Raw genomic sequence first — 26,448 nt, forward strand, 5'->3', positions numbered from 1 at the left:
ACTTGAGGCCAGGAGCTCAAGACTAGCCTGGCCAACATGGCAAAGCCCTGCCTCTACTAAAAATATAAAAATTAGCTGGGCATGGTGGTGCATGCCTGTAATCCCAGCTACTTGGGAGGCTGAGGCAGGAGAATCACTTGAACCTGGGAGGCTGAGGCTGCAGTGAGCTGAGAGAGCACCACTGCATTCCAGCCTGGGCAACAGAGTGAGACTCCAACTTAAAAAAAAAAAAAAAAAGACCCTTGTGATTACATTGGTCTCACCCAGATAATCCAGAATATTCTTCTCAAGATCCTTAACGTAATCACACCTGGAAAGTTGCTGTTGCCATGTAAAGTAGTAACATATTCACAGATTTTGGGTATTAGCATGTGGACATCTTTGCTGAGGTATTATTTTGCCTACCACATAGGATATGTTAATCGGTGCTTAAAAATCCATTCGATGCTCAAATTTTTTAGAAGAATGAACCTATGTATTTTTAAAAATCCAAGTAAATGACCAGCTTCAGTGTTCTGCCTTATGTTTTGATGAGGGGAATAAAACAGTGAGGGAATGATTGGGATAGTGAAGGATTATTTGCCACCAGAGAATGCTGAAGTTTTTGGGACAATGTTTGCAAGCCCCCTTCTAACTCACCTCCATTTGCTATATCTCTTCGTGCCTAATGGGGGATTTTACCAGTGTGAATATGCACTGTTGAATTTTTGGTCCTGCTTTTCAAATGCTGTCAGTGACAAACTTCAGTTGTAGTGGGAAATTTAATAGGAAACAGTGAGCCATCTCATCCCTCATGCAACCAGTCATTTAAAAATCAACTAGGAAAAGTCTTTCAGTGTGGTAGGGAGGTAGGGTGGTATAATTGCAAGAGTGGAGGCATACAGACTTGAAGTCAAATCCTGTTTCCAACACAGACTAGCTATGTGACTTTGGTAAACACATAATTTCCTGAGATTCAGTCTTTTCATCTGTGTAGTAGGCATAATAATAACTGAGGTGAGTTACATAAAGTATATGACAATCTGGTGAACACAGGGCATTTTTATGTCACATTTTCACCCATTTAGCATTGACTCTATGGAGGTTTTGACCCTTTGTTTTAATCTAAAAGATTTTTTAAAATATCAGAATTATACGAACATTGATGACTTTTTTCCAAGAGTATTTTTCTGGAGATAATTTCGTTAAGTCAGTTAATTTTGTTAATTTAAATAGTATGGCTCATCATTCAATAAATAGTAAACATCTACTATGTGCTATGTATTTTTTTCTTAGAAGATATCTGTAAATAAAGACAATATTCCTGCCTTTGTTGAGTCTTATTTTTTGGCAAGGAGAGACAGATAGTAAACATAAAAAATAAGTAGATTCTATAACAAGAGGTATTAAGTGCTATGGAAAAAAGAAAACACACCAGAGAGGTGAGGGTGCAGATTGCAGTATAAATAGCATACTTAGGAAACAAATCATCTGGAGGTGAGATTTGAACCAAGACCTGAAGGAAGTGAATGGACTCATCCAAGGGGATATTTGGGGAAAGAATATGCTTGGCAGAGGAATTAGCTGGTGCAAAGGCCCCACAGTGGGGCATGTCTGCTATGTCAGAGGAGCGTCAAAAGGATGAGTATGGCTCAAGAGAATGGAGTGATGGGGAGAGTAATGGGAGAGGAGGTCAGAGAGGGGCCAGATTGCCTGGACCTGGGAGGCTTTGGGAAGGGCACTCCAAAGTGCAATAGGAAGCTATTATAGGGCCTTGTGCAGAGCAATGACCCAATCTGACTGAAGTTTCATAAATTCTTTGTTCAGACTAGATGGTAGGAAGGCAAGGATAAAGGTTGGGGCTCCTGTGGTCAGCAACGTGGGAGGATGATGGCTCAAACAGGGCAGGAGCAGTGAAGCTAGTGAGAATGGTCAGATTTGCGATACATTTAAAGGTAAGACCCTGAGGATTTCCTCATGCGTAGGATGTAGGGTATGAGGGAATTGAGAGTAGCTAAAGCTAACCCCAAAGTTTTTATCCTGAGGAACTGAAGAGTGTAGTTACAATCAACTAAGATAGGGAAGGCTTAGTGGGATTGGGGTGGTAATGGTGGAGAAAGATGACCGGAAGTCCAGTTTAAGATGTGTTAAGTTTGAAACGCCTATTAGAACTCCGTGGTTGATGTTGAGTAGGAAGCTGGATATCCAACTGATTTTGGGAGAGAGTTCTGGACTAAAAATAGAAATTTGGGACTTGTTGGCATCTAGATGCTATTTGAAACAATGGGACTGGGTACAATCACCAATGGAGGAAGACAGGAAATAGAAGTCCAGGGACTGAACCCTAGGGGATTTCCACCTAAGAAGTCAGGGAGAGGACAAGCCAACAAAGGAGACTGAGAGGCGTGACCGTCAAGGTGGAGGAAAGCCAAGAGCATGGTGCCTGGAGTGGAAGCCAGGAGAAGGAGGTGTCTTACTGAGGCGAGAGTGATCAACTTTCCAATAATCGTTAATAGGGTATGTAAGCTGAGGACTGACAATCAAGGTCCTGGGTGATCTCTGTGGGAACGGTTTTGGAAGCACGGTGAAAGGAGTGGGTTGAAGAGAGAATGGGAGGAGGGAAATTGCAGATAGTGAATGCAGCCAACTCTTTGAGGAGTTTTACTACTATGGGAAGCAAAGATGGGAGTGGTGGCTGATGGGAAATGGGGTGAGGTCAAGAGAAGGTTTTTGTTTTTAAATGTGAGAAATAAGATGGTCAAATAGAAATAGAAATATTGAAGATGTAAGAGAGAGACGGAAGATGTCCTTGAGCTGATCTGATGTCCTTGAGCAGGGAAAAGGTGATGGGATCTGGTGCCAAAGTGGGGAGCTGATTTAGGCAAGGACATAGAAAGACCATGGCAATAGGAGGAAGGCAGAGACCAGGAGTGCAGCTGCTGGTGGTGAGGAGACACACTGCTGAGAGTCTGACAGTTCTCTTTTGCCTGCTTTATTTTCTCAGCAAAATAGGAAGCAAATCCATCAGCTGAGAGCGAGGATGGGGGAATTTAGGGATTTGAGGAGAGAGGAGAAAGTGTGAAATAGTTATCCAGTTCAGCTATTTCCAAGCTTTTGAATTTTTTTCTATTTTAATGAAATTAGTATAATTGGTATCAATTCTGTTAATTTTAGGAGGGCCATCTTGAGTCATCAGTTAATTTTAAGCCTTATTGATTTTTCCTTATGAAAACTTCTGCTATTGCCGATTCCCTTTTGCAGCCATTATTTCCACCAGGTCCAGCTTTACTAGTGAAATTTTGCAAATCTAAATTTTGTCAAGAAGAGTTTCTCCTTTTGTCAATTTTTAATCAACAGCAGACTTTACCATGAGCAATGTTAGCTATCATATTGGTTATTTTTCTCAAGCCTACTTTTTCCTGGGTCAGTTTTTACAGTTCGTAGAATTAGATGTGATCTTTAGTCCACTTTTAATCTAGGAGTGATTTTTTTTTTCACCATATACAGTTTTTGCTTTTATGTTCATTATATGCAGTAGGCAGAAACTTGGGACAAGAATATCCATTGGAGTTAAATGGCAGAGTAGAAACGTCGAGCCTAGGAATCTGCCACAGTTTCAGTAAATATCAGCTGCTTCTGTGTCCCCCTTTCAAAGAACTCCAGTTGCTTCATTTCCAGATGGCTCAGGGAAGCAACCTTAAGCATGGGGCCTACTGAGGATCAGCAGGTTAGTTCCACAGGGAAAAATACTAAAATTAGCTGTCAGTTCCCCAAATTCTGATGCATTAAGATGATTACCAGGTAACATTATTTATTATAGATGTAAGAAAGAAAAAAAAAAGTCCTTCACGAGCCCTAAAGTGTTGGGTCATTAAGATATTACTTTAAGGAAACTTGTAAAGAATATAAAGAACTCTTCAACCTTCAGTTTCTCTTATATACACATGGAGAGAACGCAGCTATTTCAGGAAATTCATATAGTTTACATTTAAAAAGTGGAAGTAGGGGATATGAAATAGGCTTGAGATATTCAAGGAGTGGGGGAGAAGCCTCAATTTATCACTACGTAGTTGGATTTTTATCTTACATAGCGCAGCAGCGAAGCGGGAAAGAAATATGTACACCTTGATTTTATAGGGGAAAAAATGGAATTTTATGAAGGTCAGGGGCTGCCTCAGATTGACAGATGGAACAGTGACAAGTGAGAAAGGGATGCTCCAGTCTCTTGCTGTATAGCTCTCTTCGCTTAGCCTGCAGTTCCCTCCCCTGCCAACCTGACTCAAGGACTTTATTTTGAAAATGGTTTGGAAGAACAGAAACCTCAGTCTGAACACCGTCATCTTTGCGTGGAGCAAATTTGCCCTTGAATCTGCTCTGGGAAGGCCTCCCATGATCTTCCACCTGCCAGGCTGTCTACTAAGGTCGTGCAGCTCACAGCCCTCACCACCCCAGCCCCCCTTCTTCCTGAATGCACACTAAGCTCATTGCTGCCTTGGGATCTTGCACAAGCTATTGGCTCTGCCAGTAGCGTTGTGCCAACTCTACCTGTCAGCAAATCTCAGTCCAAATGTCATGTAAGAGAAAACTTATCTGACCACCTACAGATAAAGGAGCCCCTCCACTCATTCTCATAATAACTTATTTGCCTTGTTCTAGTACGTTGTAGCACATGGCATTCTTATTTGTTAAAGTATTTGTAGGCATCCTTTCACAGAAATCTAAGTTCTTCAAGGGCAAGTTTGATTTCATTCACTTACTACTGTGTCCTACGCCCAGAATGGTGTCAGCACATAATTTGTATCTAAATATTTATTGACTGACCAGAAAACCAAAAGACCCTAAAACTGAAATTTATTTTAATATTTTTATTCTAAAAAGAATCACAAAATTCAATTTCAGGTTAAATAATATTTTAGTCTTAAAAAATTAACAAAGGAGGAAGATTTTTAAAGTTTTGTTTTATATCCAAAAATGCATTCCTGATTTCCAGATAGCTCATGCAAAATCATATGTAGTGATATTCAATATTTAATAAAAGGACCTTTAGCCAGTAGTACAAATTGGATTCCATTTGATCAGAAGGAGTTCTGATCCCCAAATCCCATTTTGAAAGATTCCTGAAAAGACCTCGAAGCCGCAGACAAAGTTTATTTGAAAACATAGTTTAAAATTGCACAAATATAAATACAATTTAATAATGTGAAAAAGGGAAGGCATGCTTCCAATAATAGTACAAAAATACTACCTTAATCTTGTTACGCAAATTAGAAGCCAACTGAGTAAATTAAACACATCAATATGATAAGAGGTTATTTTTATGGTAGTAATTTTATTTCAAAGAGCAACGCAGGGAAATACTAAGATGAAGCCTTAATACCCAACAGAGTTGTGCTATGATACATATTATTTCACTAAATCACTGATACAGTATCACATAATATGCCAATCACTTTAAAATCCCCTCCCCCCCATTGCCATTAATTTACTATAGGTCACTTAATTTGAATTGGTATTAATTTAGTAACGCAATGTAAACATTTAAACTTAAATTTTTTTCTTGTTATCTATTTCAGCCTGAAAATGAAATCCCAAGACTTTAAACATTTATGAGCATGAGGAGGAAGCATCACAGAAGAATTGTCTCAAAACAACATTTTTAGATTAGATTAGAGATGCAATATTCATAGATATATAAAATATGTAGAAATGTCTTTTCTAAATAGTTAAATGTTTGTTACAGTTTGTAAAAAGTTTAATAAATTAATCAGTTTTTTTTCAACCAATGTAAACAAATTTGGGCAATGTAAATTGAAAGTTTGGGTTAGATGATATATAGGGAACATGAAAGGAAGTTGGTAAAAACTTAAGTTTGCTGTATTTCCCTTAACTACTGGTAATGTAGTCCATCATGAACACATTTCTCACATGGCAGAATTCTTGTATGGTATCCATGCAGAAATGCTATATATCTCAGTGAAAATGCCAAATGCTCGAATTACCGAGCTGAGTGTGTATACCTCTTAGTCTTTTTGTGTTATACCATTTCCCTTTCCAAGAAATCCAAAGAACACGACCCCTCCCCCTCCCCCAATGAATGATACACATTTTATAGTTGAGCAAAGAACTGCCTAATTGTTGTTGTTGTTTCCATCTTAATATTATTTTGAGTGCAGGCTTCTATTAAGTATCCCACGGAGCTCATCAGGGTTTTGCTCTGACATTCTGCAGCATTGCAAGTTAGTTTTCTCTTATAGAGAAGGTCCTGAGAAAACAGTTCTGACATTGGGACACTTGTCTCTAGACTGTGTTATTTTGGTATTTCTGCAGAAGCTGCAGGTAGTGGAAACTTCGTTCAAGGCAAAATACCACATGAGAGGTTGTTAAACCTCACAGTTTAATTTTCTGTGTTTTTTTTTTTCCTCTTAACTGTTTAATGCCTCCCCACAATCGTCTTTGCTATGTGTGTTATGTGTAGAATTCTGTCTTTGAGTTCATGGTATGTGTGTGAGGGTACCGGGGTATATGGAGTGAGTAACAAAGCTGTTACTAATGTAAGACCACATGGTCTCACTGAGCTTTGCTCTCTCCCTTTCTGGTCTCCTCATAAAATAGGGGTTATGGGAAAAGGCAGTGAGAAGATTTCAGAGTTGGTTCTGAGTGACCGTGAAATCACCTCATCACTCCCTAAATATCAGTGTTTTTAGACCTGTTGATCAAGTCCAGTTTCTCAAGGGACATTTAGCCCAAGCAGCTCAACTACCATACAAACAGGGCTGTATCAGAACAATGTTGTGATACCCCACACACTTGCTATGTGACATTTATGAAAATTAAGGCCCCATATCTACTTCGTTGTGTGATGATTTTGATGTGCCTGACATTACCCCAACCTCCTCGCCTTATTTAGAATATCAGTTTTTCTAATTTATTCCCAAACTTTTAGAAAAATTTTGAAATGCATTATTAAGAATTTAAAGTCGAAACCTTTATGTGCTGAGGCAGTCAACATGATTTAGTTTAGTAGCATTCAGACACTTGGATTTGTTTAAGTTTGGGATCTGTTGTGCCTCAACTGGTTTTTGAAAAAGTGTTTAGATGTCCCAGATTCTTCAGAGGATTAGTTTGGCACTGGTAACACTGTAGAAACCAGATGTGTGAATATCTGTAAAGTTCAGTGTGATAGCATGAAAACAATCTCAAGGATAGGATAAGAAAAGCAAATAGAAAAACTGTAACACAAAGTTCATAAAAATGCTCCCTTGTATAGAGGCAAGGAACAACAGGCTAACCTATGAGACTTAATCATGCACTGTGTAAATTTAAATTCAGTCAAGTTATCTTGCATGCTTTGGTTAATATTTGAGTAGGCAAATTTGCAATACTAATGCATGCAATATTTTTGTACCTGAGGTTATACGTTTTGCTTTTAAAAAATTGCTTTTTTACAAACTTTATGCCAGAGTTTATCTATGAACACTCTTTAAAAAAAAAAAAAAAAATATATATATATATATATATATATATCTACTTCTTAGTTCAAAACAGTTTAATTTCAACCAGTTCTATAACTATTGAGATGATGATAGGGAAACTGCAGTAAAATGTGGATACGAAATGAATTTGAAATTATTTTACAAGGTTGAAATCATAAGTGTGCACGTGTAATAATTTCTAAAATAAGAGGGTTCAAAAAGGATGGCATATAAAGTAAGCCTTTAGAATACCCTGTTTCTAGAATGTTCTAGAAGTATCTCAAGATATAAAACAACAACCACCACTGCTACAACAACTAGCTTAAAGTACAGTCCAATCTTGGGGAACTGATTCAGGGCAAATGAGGAAGGGTCTCAGAATGATCAACTTGCTTTCTCTGTATTCCCAAGCTCACAGACAAAGTTTATGATAAAGAGTTTGGAAGCTTTTATTATAAAAGTGGGACTAGCTACAACTGTATTCAAGTCTTGCTTGTATGGGAAGAATATACAAGAAATATTTATCTATACAAGTATTTAGACATGGGTCCCACGTTCAATATAATAGTATCTTAAAGAGAAGAATGAGGAAAGTGGCATGAAACTCTAAAAGTGAGTTTGTGAAACGTAAGTGGACATTCCTACCCAGTTATGTTTCCTTACTTTTCTGTTCTAGTAGGAATCCAGATTGACTGAGAAAGCACGGTGCATAGTATTCTATTAAAATTTCCTGGTGGACGAGATCTACCCATTTTTCAGGAGTCATGGGGAGTGAGTTTTGGAGGAAGTAAAGGGAATGAATCAGTATGATTGGCCCAGTGAGAGGGATTTTTATTCCTCCTCCTCTCCCCTATCCCTCTGTCTCCTCCTCACCAGGAAGGTACAACAGCATGTAGAAGTAGCCTACTAGAAATGGTTATATTTTGAAACTCAGCAATAATCACTGGCTTTCTCTTTATTTTCATCCAATCTACAGGCGAAGTCAGTCCCTGGAAGTCACCTGTATGTAACTGAAGTCACCCGTATGTAGCCATTCTAGTAAGAATACCCTCTTCTAGGAGCTGTTAGGCTGTTATACATTAATACATGAAAAAGGAAACTCAAAGCCTTCTCAGAGTACCTCAGAAGGGAAATAAGGATACCCTCCCCTTTCAAACGGAAAGAGTAATTTAAATGACAATTTCATGCCATGAAGATAAGATGCCAAAAATTGTTCTGCCAAAAAATAAAGTAGATGCACTTCTAAGAAACAAAACATTTACTGTATATGATTTATACAAAAAGACTGTTCTAAAGTCTTGCTACTGATTTCTTGGTGGTGCTCTATTCCTATAAACTGTCACTTTTTTGTTTTTTTTGAGACGGAGTCTCGCTCTGTCACCCAGACTGGAGTGCAGCGGTGCAATCTCGGCTCACTGCAACCTCCGCCTCCCTGGTTCAAGTGATTCTCCTGCCTCAGCCTCCTGAGTAGCTGGTATTACAGGTGCATACCACTACACCCGGCTAATTTTTGTATTCTTAATAAAGACGGGGTTTCACCATGTTGGTCAGGCTGGTCTCGAACTCCTGACCTCGTGGTCTGCCCGCCTCTGCCTCCCAAAGTGCTAGGATTACAGGCGTGAGCCACCGCACCTGGCCTGTCACTCATGTTTTAATAATGGTTTTAACTTAATTTTATAAAAAATATTATTGAAAAATGCAACTCTTTTCCTCTTGGGCCGTAATTCTGGACTTCTTGACAGCCTATAAAAATCTTAGATCTGACAGATACTACATACACTAGAGAAAGTACTACTAAATGCTCTGCAAATTGCCAAATAATGGTAAGAATGGAAGATTGTTTAGTCTTCCCTAAAACAGCTCCTTGGAGTTTGTGTTCCAATAGCAAAATAAAACTTGGGCCACAAAATTTGCCACCATTTAGCAACAAATTAATTATTTGACATTTATACTAGTTTCAGGCTTTAAATCCAGGCTGCAGATTCAGCTGCTGCTCAAAGTATAGAATGGCATCACAGAACACTTACAAAGTTTGCTTTGAATCCTTTGTTCAGAGGCTATTCAATCCTTTGTCCATGAACTATTCATGCCGACTTTCTGGTCAAGGTACAGAGATGGCAGGAGGAAGGAGCAGGGAAGGAAAGGATGCTTAATCAGGCATATTCAAGCAGGCCCTGCCATGGCTTGGAGGCTGGCCCCAAGAGTCCTTACCAGACTGGGTTTCTCGAATTCTACAATTCTTACAATACCATTCTTGAAAGCATTGTTGAGCTTTACTTTGCTGCTGAGACTGTAGAGAAGCACGGTCTGAGACTGGGTGGTCGCTGCTACCCATGATGAGTGCCTGAATGCCTCTGCCTTCTGCTGACCAGCTGGAGCTACCACCTGGCCCAAGTCAACTTTGACAATGACTATCAAAACCTGGCACTCCTCACAGTGGCCTCAGCTTTTTGTCTTTATAAACTAGAATAGGTTATAACATATGTAAGCCTCAAGGACTTGTGGTTTCTGTTAACTTGAGGCCCTCTCACAACCCAAGGACTTCAGATGTAACAGAGGAGAGGATTTTATTCCTGTACCTCGCATTCAATTGATAAGCACGTGTGCACATTTACTCCTCAGTAGAAGCTTATTCCCCAGCCAATTAGACTGTTTTGATCCCAATTCTGTGGAGTCTTTTTTGTTGTTGTTGTTTTATTTTTTGTGGGTAGCTATAATCATGAGCGGGATGAGCTATTATTATCAAAGAACATAAATAAAAAGTTGTTAGGATTAGCTACTGTGGGGAAGGTTCTAGACGAAGGAAGGAGACCAGGTAAAGAAGAATGGGATAACTTCTATACCTGACATTGGGAAAATTATATTCTGATTAGCATTTTGCAAAAAATGTTCCTAATTCTTTAAAAAATGTATCTTTCAAAATAATCACCAAGCCCCAAACACATACAAAACACTGTGGAGAACTAAGTGGAATTCAACCAATTAAAACACCACTGCTAATAGAAAATTCCCAATACTTGCTAAATGTTCAAAGAGCCAAAGAGGCATGCATCTTTCATATGAAATCACTGGCATTCAGTGAGATTTGGTTTGAAAGTGTTGCTCTTCTATCACTTAGAATGCAAGGGGATGAACAGTGCAGATTATTATGAAACTAAGAAAACATAATTTTTAGGAAAAAATGTTATTTATCACTCTTAAGAAATATTATTTAAAATATTTATGGTTTAAAAGGAATATTGGTGTGCAGGGCAAAGCCAGTAAAGTATGACACTTAAGCAAGTTAATTTGAACTCAATAGAAATCACGATACCATCAAACTTTCTTCCTGCAGAGAATGCATGAAGAGACAGTACCTTGTGTCTTACTTATGTTCATACAGACCCAGAAAGCACGTGAATGAAAAGATCTGTTTGCCATATTTACGCCTTATGTCATCGTATCTGCTTTAAGAAAAACACTTCTTCAAAATCCTACACTATGAAAAACTGTCTTCAGGAATTGTTTATTTGGTCCGTTGATCTAGTGAGGCTGAGTTCTTAAATCTTTCACCCCCAAGTTAAAAATTGGAGCAACAAAACAAAACTCCAGCAAGGCATAAATAAGATATTAAAGTGCATATATACAATACCAGAAAAGTTTAGATTGGGAACAGCAAAAATTTCTAGTGCAAAAACTGCTTTTGCCAGCAAAGCTCCCTCTCTGGAATCAAAGGGCTACAGTAAAAGTTAAAATTGGAACAGGTTTAAGCAATGTCTGTCTTTAGTCACAAGTTAATATATGTGCATGCACCAATGGCCCAAACTATGTTCAGTCTTGCAAAAGAAGACAGTTCAGAAACAGTCAGAATTTCCCAATCTGAGGCAGTGCTTTTTCCATGTTTCCCATGAACAAGTTCCTCAGATGTGTCATCAGCTGCAAGGGGAGACAAAAAACCCAAAGAACATGTGTTGCAATATGCTTGCAACTTGTGGAAAGAGTATTCAACACACAGTTACTTTATCTTGGTTTGTCTTGAGTCTCTTAATTCTTCTTTTGAGCCTGACTTTGACTCTATATACAACATTTTGTGCTTTTGGATCTGAACAGAGACTGGGCATTGTCCACAGGAATTAATTTCCTTGGGCTATATGACCATGGCCTTTTGAATATTTGATTTATCCTTTTGAAATTCATAATAAAATAGTTTTTGATTTTTCAGTACAATCACACAGATCAGGGATTATTAGTACTGGTATTATTCTTTCTTCAAGGATCCAAGTTGAAAGCTCTTAAGAGGACATCCAGGTCACCAAGATTAGCCGCCTGGAAGAGTTCTGGTTGGTCCATCAGAGAGAGCGCAATTCTGAGGGCAGCCCAGATATTCCCAGAGATTGCAGGATGAGGAACTTGCTGCTGATTCCTGCTCTTTCTTTGCAAACTGAGGGCAGTGAGAAAATTGCTGACCGCTTCTCTAAGAAGGTAGAAAAACATATTTTAAAATGAGTCACATTTCAGAGTTAGCAAATGTAAACAAAACAAAACAAAATTGGATTAAGTGATTTTAATCTAAAATCTTAAATCACCTCTTACGTGTTCTGGATGATCAAATGAACAACTTTCTAATTCTCTTATATTCTTTAGTGAGCAATCATTGTTAAATACAGTGAGGTCAGAAAGAAAAAAGAAAAGCAGGCTGGACATGGTGGCTCAAGCCTGTAATCCCAGCACTTTGGGAGGCCAAGGCAGGTGGATCACTTGAGGTCAGGAGTTCAAGATCAGCCTGGCCAACATGGTGAAACCCTGTCTCTACTAAAAATACAAAAAATAGCCAGGTGTAGTGGCATGCCCCTGTAATCCCAGCTACTAGGGAGGCTGAGGCAGGAGAATGGCTTGAACCCAGGAGACAGAGGTTGCAGTGAGCCGAGATCACACCACTGCCCTCCAGCCTGGGCAACAGAGTGAGACTGTCTCAAAAAAAAAAAAAAAAAAAAAAGAAAAGAAAAGAAAAGAAAATTTTATTTTAGGAATGTCACGTGGGAGAGAAAGAATAATAGCAAAACCATGCAAATTCATTAATGCATTCGATTTTCCTCTGCTCTAGGAATGATTTGAACACTTAATGCATTTGCAGATTTGATTTCTATAACTAGGTTTAAGAGGAAGAATATAGCCCTACTTAAAAACAAAGTGGTCTAATTTTTCCCATTAGTGCTAGATGTATGGAACACAGCTAGAGTAGATTGAGTTTATTACTGGGCACCTGTCTTGAATCCCAGTTATTTAGCAGTAGGCAAATTTCTTGTTTTTTTTTTTTCCAAGGATTACTTTCCCTGAGTGTGTAATAGGGATAATCAAAGGCATTTAAAAACTTTGTGAGGTGCAGTTGAATCAATCTACATGAAAGCTCTTATCACTGAGTAAGATCAATAGTCCTCAAAGTGTGGTCTGGAGAAGCTTGGGAATCAATGAGGTCAAAATTATTTTTATGATAAAGCTAATATGTTATTTGATTTTTTTGCTTTCATTTTCTCACATGCTTACAGTGGAATTTTCCAGAGACTACATGGTGCATGATATCGCAACAGACTGACTGCAGAAGCAGGTGTGAGAGTGTGTCTTCTAGTAAGCAAGATATGAAACAAACTTGCAAAAATGTGAAACAATGTCACTTTTCCCACTAGACTGTTTGTGTTTTGGAAAATATTTTTTGTAAAAAATATTATTTATGATAACATGTAGTGAGTTTTATTCTTTTTAAATGAATCTTTAACAATGTTTTCAGTTTAATTTCCAATACGGTAAATATTGATAGATATAACCCACATAAACAAAAGCCCTTTTAGGTTCTCAATAATTATTAAAAGTGTAGAGGGGTCCTGAGAACACCAAGTCTGAGACAAGCCGAGTTAGATGCTGTCTGAAGTCCTTCTAGCTCCTCTAGCCCACTAGTCCACTCTGTTGCTCAGGTGCCAGGTGCACCTGCTGGGTCTGCCCTCTTCAGCAGCCCCATTTCACCCCAACCTTGTTGAGTATATCTGACACACTGATCCTTCCGAAGAATAATCATGCCACTTTAATTTGCATCCACTTTACTGTTCTCAAAAACTTTTCATACCCTTGATCTCATTTAATCCTGCAAGGTAGGTAATAAGCATCTGGTAAGAAACTTTGAAAATGAGACTGGATTTCTAATTCTAATGCACATAATCCAGGGATTTGCTCATCTATATTGTTAGATCTGCCTGAAAATAAAAGGTAAGTGAGAAATGGTCATGGTGTATGTAGCAATCTGGATAATGGAATGGAGTAGGTGTTCTAATCACCCCCTCTTCTGGGTTTCTTGTAATCAAGCAAGAGAGGGAGATTTATAAATGGATGGACATAAGGAGCCTACTTGAGTAGACCTTTTTGCCCCCACTTCACAGGATGGCAGCTCTACTGATGTCTCCCAGTTTTCTCTCATAGACCCAGACCTGCAAGAACTCGAGGGAAAGGAAGATCTTGAAAGCCTCTCATTCACTGGGTGCTTCCAGCTCCAAGTGTGTGGTAATGGTTTCAGAGGGATTTGGAGAGAAACAGAATAGTCGAACTTACCTCATCAAACGACTCCAGTTTTTATTGTCCCCCCATAAAGATAGTCTAAACCTGCTCCCCTGCTTGTGAACTCAGAGTCCTGTTGGGGGACTCAGAAGGTTGTACATATATATGTGTGAATAGTTTTCAAATGTTTCACACATGTATGTATAAATAATTTTAAATGTTTGTGTATATTGTCATGATTAATAAAAAGCCCATTCATTTAAAAGCATCACGTTATAGCTTTCCCTCATTATACTCACACTAAAAATATTACTATCAAGCAGGATGAAATTTTCATCCAAAGGAGTCCTCATTTTTGAAAAGGTTAAGACTCATTGGTCTAAGCTGTAGTCTGGAGCTCTATTGACAAAGGTGTAACATTTAGAGCTAAAGCCAAGTTTCACACCAACAATTTCCTCTCCTTATTTTAATTGTATATGGTACCAGGGTAGTGTTTGCCTTTGACTCTTTATGGAAAATGTGATGACAAGCAGCAAATGTTACAGCTACATACACCGACACCTGCAGTTCTTGAGGGAGCGGTCCCAAGACGTTTGTGAAGTTGAAAGTACTTAAACCAGCTCCTCGCTTCCTTTTGAGCTCTTTCTCTATTGAGGGTTGTTATTTCCTGAGTATGCACTTATACCTCAAATTATACTTCTTTTCAGAATTCATTTAAGATTTATGTCTCTCTCTCGCCGGGTGTAGTGGCTCATGCCTGTAATCCCCGCACTTTGGGAGGCTGAGGCAGGCAGATCACTTGAGGTCAGGAGTTTGAGACAAGTCTGGCCAACCTGGTGAAACCCTGTGTCTACTAAAAATACAAAAATTAGCCAGGCATGGTGGTGGGCGCCTGTAATCCCCGCTATTCTGGAGGCTGAGGCAGGAGAATTGCTTGAACCTGGGAGGCAGAAGTTGCAGTGAGCCGAGATTGCACCACTGCACTCCAGCCTGGGTGACAGAAGCCTCCATCTCAAAAAAAAAAATTACGTCTCACTCGATGGTCTTTTTTTTTTTTTTTTTTTTTTTCAGGAAAAAGCACAAAATTCTTACCACTTCTCAGATTTCCCCCACCTGGCATGACAATAAAAGACCCACAAAACTTAGTCGATACGTTCCAAAGTAGCCAACTGAGTAGTGTTGCCAGATTTAGCAAATAAAAATACAGAATGCATAGTTAAATGTGAACTTCAGATAAACATCCCTTGGTATCCGTGGGGGATTGGTTTCATGAACCCCTGAGAATACCAAAATCTGAGAATGCTCAGGTCCCTTGTATAAAATAGCATAATATTTGCATATAGCCTGCACACACCTCCCATATACTTTAAATCATCTCCAGATTACTTATAACTAATAAAATGTAAATGCTATGTATTTGTCATACTATATTGTTTTTTAAAAAGTTGTGTTTTTTAAGAAATGTATTCAATCCACAGTTGGTTAAACCCACAGATGAGGAACCCATGGATATGGTGGGCCAATTGTACAGTAACATCCCATGCAATATTTGGAAAATACTTACACTAAAAACTTATTTGTTGTTTATCTGAAATTCAAATTTAAGTGGGCATTCTGTGTTTTATCTGGCAACCCTAAAATTGACTTGTTCCAGTATGGGAGACTTTCTGCTTGAGGATTTAAAATTTACACCTTAACGGAGGTGGCCATTTTTACCTGTCATGAGCCTTCATGGGTCCCTGAAAACAGTAACCCTGCTGAATTTTGTATCTGTGAATGCCAAGAAAGTATTTTATTGGCCACTCAATTATTGTTTTCTAACCCTAAGAAGTTATAATTAAGAAAAACTCATCTAGGAGCTTTATAAAAGCCTCCTTTAATTGAAAAAAAATATATAAAATATACATAGTATATATATAAAATGTATGTAATATTTATATATTTCTTTTGTAAGAACAATTATAACAATTACATTATATGTTTTATATATATATATGTATTTTGTTTTACATCTCCCTTGTTCTAAAAAAAAAGGAATCTAAGGTGTCTCATAAAATACATATACACAACATATCTAGAAAAAAAGTGAATGAAAGACGTAAATAGGAAATCTGGCCGGGAAAATCAGATGAAGCCAGGAATGAAGTTAGGATACAAAATAGACATCCGCAGGGCTTGGACAGCTGATGTGTAGGGGGGTGGCACAGAGTCAGCTCTGGGCTTTTGCACAGCTGATGTAAACAGGGCCTCTGCAGTGGCACATTTCACAGTGTCCATAAAATAAAGCAAGCCGCTTGGTAAGGAGTCATTCAGCTCTTCCTGGTTTTGATCTGAGAAAATTCTCTTGACACAGTTAATCTAGTGACTAATGCTCTTTGTAAGAGTTTTTTCGTACAGTGCAACAACTATTTTCTAGGATCTCAATGTTTGCCAGTGGCAAAATGCACCAATGCAGTTCAGAAGCAGTCATTCTTTAGATGTCAAAAGAGTGAAATCTAGTTATACAGTTCTCTGATGACTTACTAAATAAATAATAGTAATAAGGATGATGATGGCAAAAATAATAATCATCATAATAAATGCCTGCTAGGCATTGAGCATCTGCTCTGTGCTAGGCAATTACATTTAACCTGTACAAAATCCTGAAAAATAATCATTACCTCTTTCTCTCTCTTTTTTTAACAAGTGAAGAAATTGAGGCTAAAAATTATAGACCAGAGTCACAAAACCGGTACATGGCAGAGCTGTGATTTTAACACAGGCTTGTCTGATTATTAAAGCCTGGCTCTTTCAGAGAATGAGAAAGGGTTTACATCTTTTGTGGGGTTCAAAACTAACATTTAGTTCTTTTTCCAAATTATGAAAGTAATACCGGTTTATTTAGAAAATAGAAAAAATGGGAAAAGAAAGAAGAAAAAAGATTACCCATACTTTCATTATCTGAAAGAAATAAAGGTCATTTCTAGGCCCTGGTAATGGGAAAAAGAAAGAGAGGACGCAGACCTTAACGACGAAGGACGAGAATGAGAAAGGCATTTTAAACTATAAGCCCAGTTGTGTTTTTTCTTTTCTCCCAACTAACTTGATTGGTATATTAGGTTTAGAAAACCTGGACTCTTAGTTTTGCTTTGCTAAACACTGATTCTGGGACTTTCTGAAAGTCATTTTGCCAGGTCCCCTTGCCCACACCCCCAAGGCTCTTTTTTCCTTAAGTGGAAAATGAAAGATTGACGGGTACTATTTCTTGAAGAGTTGCCCTTGGGGGTGTTGAAAATGCTGATAACTTGTCCTAATCCAGGCCAACTGAATCAAAATCTCAGGGGCCAGGAATTGGGAATCTGCATTTCCCAAGATGCGGAGCCAACTGCTGCTCTCTAAAGATTGAGAACCAGAGAAGCACAGGGTTCCTGCTCAAACAGGCCTTGGGATCTGAAGGCTCCACATTCACCCTTAACGGCAGGAGGAGGAATACTCCTACCAAGGCAGGCATTTTTACTTGGAAACAACCTTTCAGATTATTCGACCTCAGTCCTGGGCATGGCCTTCATCCTTGGCCTGTTGCTGTACTTCACCTGTAGGCGCCCAGGTTGATGCAGCTTATTCCTAGGTTGTATCTGGACCGGATGAATCCTGGCTGAATCTCCAGTGCTCGCGTATAGGCCTCCACGGCTTCCTCGCTGCGGTCTCCGTTCGCCAAGGTCGCCCCGAGGCGGTTCCATAGTGAATAGTCCTGATGACAAAATCAGAACTTTCTAACAACCCAGTACAAGGCACAATGACAGAGCATTCCTGTATTTCTCTGCAGAGAAAGGAAGATGGCTAAAAATTTATGCAGTGCTCATGGATGGAGACCATGGCCAGGTGAATTACTAAAAAATCTTCACGGACAGTTTTGTCAAATGACTTTCACTCGTCAATGAACAGCTACCATTTGATGTTGTCATCAACAACATCAATTAGTGTTTCTATTTTAGGTATTTCAATATTAGTGTTTGTATTTCAGGTATTTCAATATTAACAGCCACAGTAGCACATTATTATTAGTACCCATCACTTTAAACCATTGGAGTCAGGGAAATAAAGTGCAGAAGAAATGTAGACGGTGTAGCCTGTGAAAACTTATTTGTTACAGAGAACGCTGTGGTTTCTTGCTGTGCTGTGCTGTCTTACCTCTGGCCGAACAGTTAAGGCAGCGTTAAATGCATCTATTGCTCTATTAAATTCTCCACTCAGGTGGAACAGAACCCCTAGACCTGTCTGCAGGTCTGGGTCGATCATATCTCCATTTTGGTGGGCAGCTTCCAGATATAATTCCTTCACCCCTTCCAGAACAGAGCTACAAGAGAAAAAAAAAATTAGATTTGTAATCCAAATAGTCAGAACATAAATGATTTACTGTTAAATCCCTTGACTGTATTTCAAGAAGTCTCTTCGTTACAGACTGGAAAATTTTGCTTAAAATACCTTAACTCAATGAGAGGACTATTAATGCTGAATGTTTTAAAATATGGTTGAATTTCATGAACTATTTTGTTGTACACGGATACAGACTGTGCTAAGTAAGGTCTTCACGAGGCGAGTTCTGTTGACTCTATGAGTGCCAATGTGGAAAACCCCACAGCTAAGTTTCCCAAGGCCTCAGTGAATAAGGATTTAACATAAGGATTTATTGCTGATAGAAAACAAAATTTCTAGGCCGGGCGTGGTGGCTCACGCCTGTAATCCCAGCACTTTGGGAGGCCGAGGCGGGCGGATCACGAGGTCAGGGAATCAAGACCATCCTGGCTAAGGTGAAACCCCGTCTCTACTAAAAATACAAAAAATTAGCCGGGCGTGTTGGCGGGCCCTTGTAGTCCCAGCTGCTCGGGAGGCTGAGGCAGGAGAATGGCGTGAACCCGGGAGGCGGAGCTTGCAGTGAGCCGAGATTGTGCCACTGCACTCCAGCCTGGGCGACAGAGTGAGATTCCGCCTCAAAAAAAAAAAAAAAAAAAAAAAAAAAGAAAACAAAATTTCTAGAAGACGAGACTTTCATTTTCCCCATTCCTAATTCTCAGGCTGGATAAAACTTGGAGCATTGGTATTTATTATACTTCACCTTGGGTGAATTCTGTGTCCAAAGCATTTGACTTTAAAATGTGGCACTCAGATAAATGTCTGTGAGTGCCCACAATGTAGATCATGTGCCCGAAGGTTGGCCCTGGTCTAAGCATTAATCTTTCTAACGAGTGATGCTCCTCCAGCAGAATACTGTCCTGCAAACCATTCTGGAGTGGGTGGTGTCTAGGGTGTGAGGCTCATTAGTTGCCCTTTAGGTGATTCATTGTATATATGGGTGTTTACTGCCAGCTGTAATATAACGAGAAGGATACCTATCAACTGGGGACTTAGACATCCGCCGGGTGAGGCCTGGAGATCCCTTCTTGCTTTTCACAAGGTATTTGTACTTTGGATTTTGCTTAATCCAATTCTTCAGAGCGTCACAGGCATCCTGCTGATGGCCAGTGTTAGTATAACTCACAGCCAAGGCCATCAAAGCTTTTAAGTTGTTGGGCTGTAATTCTAAGCACCTGAAAAAAAAAAAGAAGCCAATTTCAGATTTTTTTTTGAGCCACAATCTAACAGTTCTTCAGAAAATGTGGGGGGTCTTTATTAACTAAATACTGCAAAAGCATTGGTAAGCTTGCTTATGTCAAGTTCCTGGAAAGCACCATATTTATCCACATAAAAATGGAGACCTCAGCATATTTTTAAGAAAGTTAAAACTTACCCTAATGATTGCTAGGTTTGGTAATTTTAATAAGTAGCTTTAAAACTATGTGGCTTATCCCTGCACATGATTTATTAGTGCTTAATCTAATGAGATCTCATGAGAAATAGGGGATATCATTATTTTAATGCTGCTTTTTTTTTTTTTTTTTTTTTTTTTTTTTTAGACAGAGTCTCACTCTGTCACTGAAGCTGGAGTGCAGTGGTGTGATCTTGGCTCACTGCAACCTCTGCCACCTGGACTCAAGCGATTTTCCTGCCTCAGCGTCCGAATAGCTGGGATTACAGATGCCCACCACACCCAGCTAATTTTGTATTTTTAGTAGAGACAGGGTTTCCATGTTGGCCAGGCTGGTCTCAAACTCCTGACCTCAAGTGACCCGCCTGTCTCAGCCTCCCAAAATGCTGGGATTACAGGTGTAAGCCACCACACCTGGCCTCTACTACCAATATATTAAATATCTATTATCCCCAAAGAGAACTGACTTGAATGTAGACATCTAGATATGAAAGATTTTACAGTCTTTTGCAAAGGAGAGGGAAATTCCTGTGTTTTCAGAACTACTGATGTGGGTTTACAGGAGACACAGGCTAAAGCTACTCCCCCTCATTCTATTCCACTGGCCTCTAGCAAGGGATTTTCAAACTGAAGTGCATGTGAATCATCTGGGGTGTCTTATAAAATCTTCATTCTCATCCAGTAGGTCTACTGGGGTGGGCCTGGGATTGTGCAGGTTTGACAAGTTCTCAGGTGATGATGAGGTCTCTGGATAAGACTCTGAGGAGCAAGCCCTAGGCAGGACATAATACCACTCTGTGGTGGGCCTAATCTCCCAGATTATCAGCACTGGGTAGAGAGGTTCTTAATTCTGGATGCACATTACAAACACCTGGGAGTTTTAAAACTATTGCTGCTTGGTTCCCAGCCCTGATCAATTAAATGATCATCTCTGGGCTGTGCTTGGGCATTATTTTTCCCCTCCAAACGATTCTAATGTGCATGTGTATACAGGGTTAAGAACCACTGACTCAGAGCTCCAGATGTGGAGTTGGGAGATGAGGGTTCAAGTTCTGTCTCTGTTACATACTCTCTGTGTGACCTTGACCTTTCCTGATCCCCAATTCTCTCATCTGTAGGAAAAGGCTCTGAACGCAGGGCCACACCCCAGGCACCGTTACTTCATCAAATACCAACAGAATCTTGAAATCTAGGATTCCAAGATTGTAAAGCCCTAGAATTGCAAGAGTCTAGAATTCTTACAATCTGATATTCCAAAGCTATAGGATTTATACACATACATTATGTATGTACATTCATATAAACACCATACATATAACATATGGAATGTATGTGTGTGTGTGTGTGTGTGTGTGTGTGTGCATATGTATACGCACACATATATATTCTCTTCCTATAGCACTATATTAAAGGCACTCAAAATAAAAGGTAGGGAAAGTGGAAGTCTATTTGGCAGAGGCTACTTTTCCAGGGTTTAAATAGGAGCTCTAGTCAAGTAGGGTGTAATATTACACACACCCACTGTTCCCATCCCTCCTGCTCCAACGTCATCCAGACCATTAGTCAGTACTCCACTTATTTTTTTTGAAGAATATTTTCAGATGTTTCAGAAGGCTAAAACGTTAAAAGGAACTATTTATTCAATGAGTCTACTTTATGACTGGGTTTAACACAGGCTTTCTCTGGTGCCAGTGAATGTCCATTGATTTGTAGATAGTAAGACATTGTTAGGAACATGACTTCATTCTAAGTTGTTTTTCAGAGCTAAGTGTGAGTGATATGCGGTATCTCAGCACTTATCCTTTACAAATTCTTTACACTGTACTTCAGTAAAGATCAAAAGACAAATCTGAAACAGGAAGTTCATTAACAAGTATCCACCAGGCCCATGATTTTGCACTTAGCTTCCTTTACCTCTGGAGGGCGACAATAGCTGCTTGTTCATTTTCATTCTCCGCCTGGGTTATCCCGAGGAACTGCCATGCCTACGAAAGACAACTGATGTTAACATTGCAAGATGAAGCAGAATTACTCATGTGCTTCAGTTGGTTTGTTGACCTGTGATGGATCCCCTATGCAGAGCAAGCTGTCTCATATGTGAGCGCTATATAAAAGGGAAAAATATTGTATGCATTTCTTCATTCAAACTCTCTTGTGACACCTGGCTCAAGATCCTCTGTCATTATTTCCAAATTCGTTCAGTATTTATCCTTTCCTATAACCCAGTGCGATGGAAACCTCTGAATTTCTGAGATTTCGTTATATTAGGTATCTTAAAACCAAAGGATAAATATATAAAATTATACGATTGTGAGGAAAAGGGGTGGAAATATAACCCAGAAATGTAGCTAAATGAAATTTACAATAAGGAATCTCAAGATGTACAATATTAACTTAGCTTGTATGAATGAAAGTCACTTACTAGAAGAATTCACAGGAGATTTAGGAACTAGGAAAAGCAAAACAAACAAAATCTCCCATGATGTGTTCATTCCTCTAAGGTAATCACTGTTAAAATGCACAAAACATATAACACAATCATAATGTAGACATAATTTTATAGTCTACATTTATACATTTCATCGTACCTTAAGCCCTTTTTCATGTTTTTACAAAATCCTTGTAATTTTTAATTTGGATTTTGTTGAATGGCTATTCCATTATTTACTCAACAATTCCCTTATTGCTTTAAGTTGGTTGCAATTGTTTGCTATTGTAAATAATATGAAGAACATCTTCAAGCAGATAGCTTATGTTTTTATATCTAGAATTAAAGTTTTTAACACAGCAAATTTTTCTCTGTATACTCATAAGAACAATAACTCTCACACTGTTATAAGAGTAATACACACAAGCAGAAACCTCTCATTACACACATTGTCTTCAAATTTGCTGGGGGTGGAGGTATATTAGGGTCTTAAGGTTTAAAAATGTTTGGGGAGTGTGTAACTCTCCTTCCCAAGGCTGGGAGAGTTACACACTCCCCAAAGACTCTTACACACTCCCCAAACATCATTTTAGATTATACCGTTTTAAAACAAAACTCTATGAAAGCACAGTTATCTTAAAGTGCCATTTGAATGGTTTTGGCTTTTCCTCTCATGGGTTATAATTACATATACCTTATAAACTCATAAAAATACTGATTATTCCTCCCTCCAAATATCCTTGATTCTTTTAAATCTCTTAAACATACAGACAGCAACCTCTATTTTGATTTCACCTTTCATATATCTTAGAATGCTTCTTAAGAAAAGATTGATGAAATAGTCTTTCTCTGGGGACGTTTTTCTAGCCTTTGGCCATGGTGTCATTTTCACTGTCTGCAGTGTTATTACTTTAACTTTGAGGTCTCCATAGGTTCAGAAGCCCTGGGTCCTTGTCTGGAATTTGTTAGTTACCACAGGCCCTCATTTTCTTATTTATGAATCTGAGATCGTAATATGTCCTTAAAAAAATCTTCCAGGGCTGTTGTGTCAAATAATGTAATATATTTGAAAACGCCTTGTAAAATACATAGCATTTATGTAAGATGACATTATTATTTTTAGGGGGTGGCCTATAGTTTCATATTAGTGTAATAATTTCCTCTTCTACAACGAGAATATATCTTTCATTTTATTTATTTTTGAGACAGGGTCTTGCTCTGTCACTGAGGCTGGAGTGCAGTGGCACGATCTCGGCTCACTGCAACCTCCGCCTCCTGGTTCAAGTGATTCTCCCACCTCAGCCTCCCGAGTAGCTGGGATTACAGGCATGAGCCATCCCACTCAACTAATTTTTTTTTTTTTTTTTTTTTTTGAGACGGAGTCCCGCTGTTTAGCCCAGGCCGGACTGCGGATTGCAGTGGCGCAATCTCGGCTCACTGCAAGCTCCGCCTCCCGGGTTCACGCCATTCTCCTGCCTCAGCCTCCCGAGTAGCTGGGACTACAGGCGCCCGCCACCGCGCCCGGCTAATTTTTTGTATTTTTAGTAGAGGCGGGGTTTCACCTTGTTAGCCAGGATGGTCTCGATCTCCTGACCTCATGATCCACCCGCCTCGGCCTCCCAAAGTGCTGGGATTACAGGCGTGAGCCACCGCGCCCGGCCATTTTTTTTTTTTTTTTGTATTTTTACTAGAGACGGGGTTTCCCCACGTTGGCCAAGCTGGTCTCGAACTCCTGGCTTGAACTGATCCTCCCGCCTTAGCCTCCCAAAGTGCTGAGATTACAGGCATGAGGCACCACGCTTGGCCTATCTTTTAAAAATTCTAATATTTTGGTTCAGAATTTCAGCTTTCAGTTCAACCCCATTTCACTGTAAGCCTTTTGAACAAGATATTACAAGATTTAAGTAGTGATCAGTTTACTCATTCTTCCTACATAAAGTACAACCAATAATAAAAATGAAGGCTAAATATTGATGTGCCAGGCACTGAGCTGAGCACTTTATTTGTGTGCACTAATTTAATCCTTGCAACACCCAATGAGATAGTTACTATTAGGATTTCCATGTTACAGATGAGGAAACTGAAACTTAGAGGGTTTAACTGATTTGCCCCAGGTCCCATGGCTAACAGGTAGAACAGGGATCTGAACCTATGCAGTTGGGATAGCACAGCCTAGATGCTTAACCACTATTCTACATTGCATTCTCAGCACCAGTATATATACCGGTCGCTACAATTTCTGCAGATTCCCTTGGGAATATTCTTTATATGATGATTCCTGAAAATTACAAATGAAAGAAGAAACCATTATATTGACACTATCTTATGATAGGCCTTCACAGGTTTAGGAATCTAGGGGATTAGGACTGCAGAAGCTTTTTGGTGGTCTCCCAGCCTCTGTCTCTAATCACTCTTCTCATCTCGGAGAAAGGGGTTTTTCTAACATGCAATCTGTTGGTATGTCTCTCCTGAGTACAGGCCCCTAGTGGTTTCCCATGGCTTTCAGATGAATTTCAAATTCTTGCCTATCTCTTCTTGCCTTCCCTCTACCATTCTCTCCTCCCCTCTTCCTCTTAACAGGATGCTTCATGCCCCTCTGCCTACCCACATAGCGCTCTCTTGTAACAAAAACTTGACTCCCCTATTGCCTTTAATTCCTGCCCCCACCCTGGCTTCACTTGTGCAGAAAGGCTGGATGCTTTCTAGTCTCTCAGCATCCTGTGCACACTCTGACATTGCATTTATTACACTACATTGATGTTTTTACTTGTTTTCCCAGATAGACCATAAAGATGTTTTCCACCTGATATGTTTTCTCAGCTTTTAATAGTTTAAGCCAGGACCTGGTCTAATTTTTGGAACATAGTATGTGTTCAATAAATGTGGCGTGAGTAAACCAAGGGTGATGTACAGTGTGACACAAGAGCCAGACATCACTATATACTGTCCCTTGAAAACTACCGCTATATACTGTCCCTTGAAATCTACCGCTGGGCGCGGTGGCTCATGCCTGTAATCCCAGCACTTTGGGAGGCCAAGGCCGGTGGATCACTTGAGGTCAGGAGTTCGAGACCAGCCTGACCAACATGGTGAAACTCTGTCTCTACTAGAAATACAAAAATTAGCTGGGCGTGGTGACAGGCACCTGTAATCTCAGCTACTAGGGATGGTGAGGCAGGGGAATCGCTTGAACCTGGGAGGCGGAGGTTGCAGTGAGCAGAGATTGCGCCATTTCACACCAGCCTGGTTGACAGAGCAAGACTTGTCTCAAAAAAAGAAAACTACTGATAAGCCTTCAGGTTGGTAATTTTGATTTTTCTTTTCCTGCCCCCAATCTTTATTTATAGGCACTGTAAACACTGCCAATTAGAAATTTGGTTAGAAAACGGGTACTTATTTGTAACTTTTAAACAAGTAGACTAAGCTAGGTTAACTCCTCTGGGAACCTTTACTTGATGAAAAGCTGACCCAGCAGAGTTCTGTGTTATCTGTCCCTTGTTAGCACATGCCCTTTCTGAGTCTGGCAGAATGAAGGGAGAATGACACCTCTGCATCTCCAGGGTCCTGAAGAATTGCTGCTTCCATGAACAGGATGGTGACTGGCAGATCCCCTTCCTTCAGCCTTTTTAAGCCTTCTTCAAATGCTCCAGGCCAGTCCTTGAAGGGGTTTTCAGTGTGAAAGTAATATCCCTGCAACACAGAAAAAGGCCAGTGCATGAGCCATTGATTTCTCTTCTCATTCTCACATTCAATAAGTTCTCATTAAAAAGTCAGGAAACAACAGATGCTGGAGAGAATGTGGAGAAACAGGAACACTTTTACACTGTTGGTGGGAGTGTAAATTAGTTCAGCCATTGTGGAAGACAGTGTGGTGATTCCTCAAGGATCTAGAACCAGAAATATCATTTGGCCCAGCAATCCCATTACTGAGTATATACCCAAAGGATCATTCTACTATAAAGACAAATGCACACATATGTTTACTGCAGCACTATTCACAATAGCAAAGACTTGGAACCAAACCAAATGCCCATCAATGATAGACTGGATAAAGAAAATGTGGCACATATACACCATGGAATACTATACAGCCATAAAAAGGATGAGTTCATGTCCTTTTCAGGGACATGGATGAAGCTGGAAACCATCATTCTCAGCAAACTAACATAGGAACAGAAAACCAAACACCGCATGTTCTCACTCATAAGTGGGAGTTGAACAATGAGAACACGTGGACACAGGGAGGGGAACATCACACACTG

At 39.5% G+C, this 26,448-nt stretch overlaps 1 protein-coding gene and 1 long non-coding RNA gene across 39 annotated transcripts in view, besides 1 other annotated feature; one reads left to right on the top strand and one right to left on the bottom strand.

The window, feature by feature from the left end:
• The first annotated feature begins 222 nt into the window (after window positions 1-222).
• Window positions 223-5,768, top strand: LOC124909464 (uncharacterized). Its single transcript, XR_007096183.1, has 2 exons — window positions 223-2,496; window positions 5,553-5,768. It is a non-coding gene; the product is annotated as an uncharacterized LOC124909464 (long non-coding RNA).
• The window catches only part of PEX5L (peroxisomal biogenesis factor 5 like), a 241,980-nt gene continuing 220,361 nt past the window's right edge, over window positions 4,830-26,448 (bottom strand). For all 38 annotated transcript variants that reach the window (NR_146167.2, NM_001349404.2, NM_001349401.2 and 35 more), the window contains 6 exons: window positions 25,733-25,876; window positions 21,673-21,743; window positions 19,343-19,540; window positions 18,144-18,309; window positions 17,546-17,703; window positions 4,830-11,904 (listed from right to left, as the gene is read on the bottom strand). Coding sequence is in view for 37 of the 38 variants with exons in the window: in NM_001349404.2 (NP_001336333.1) it covers window positions 11,700-11,904; window positions 17,546-17,703; window positions 18,144-18,309; window positions 19,343-19,540; window positions 21,673-21,743; window positions 25,733-25,876 (942 nt within the window). In the remaining variant the exon portion in view is untranslated. The remainder of the gene's footprint in view (window positions 11,905-17,545; window positions 17,704-18,143; window positions 18,310-19,342; window positions 19,541-21,672; window positions 21,744-25,732; window positions 25,877-26,448) is intronic.
• Window positions 21,484-21,533: an enhancer, noted in NCBI's record as "active region_20871". NCBI's record gives its function as "activates an Ori minimal core promoter by ATAC-STARR-seq in GM12878 lymphoblastoid cells {active_cell/tissue: GM12878}" and the evidence as "EXISTENCE:reporter gene assay evidence [ECO:0000049][PMID:35858748]".

This window comes from Homo sapiens, chromosome 3 (genome assembly GCF_000001405.40).
Source record: "Homo sapiens chromosome 3, GRCh38.p14 Primary Assembly".
NCBI classification, from domain to species: Eukaryota; Metazoa; Chordata; class Mammalia; order Primates; family Hominidae; genus Homo; species Homo sapiens.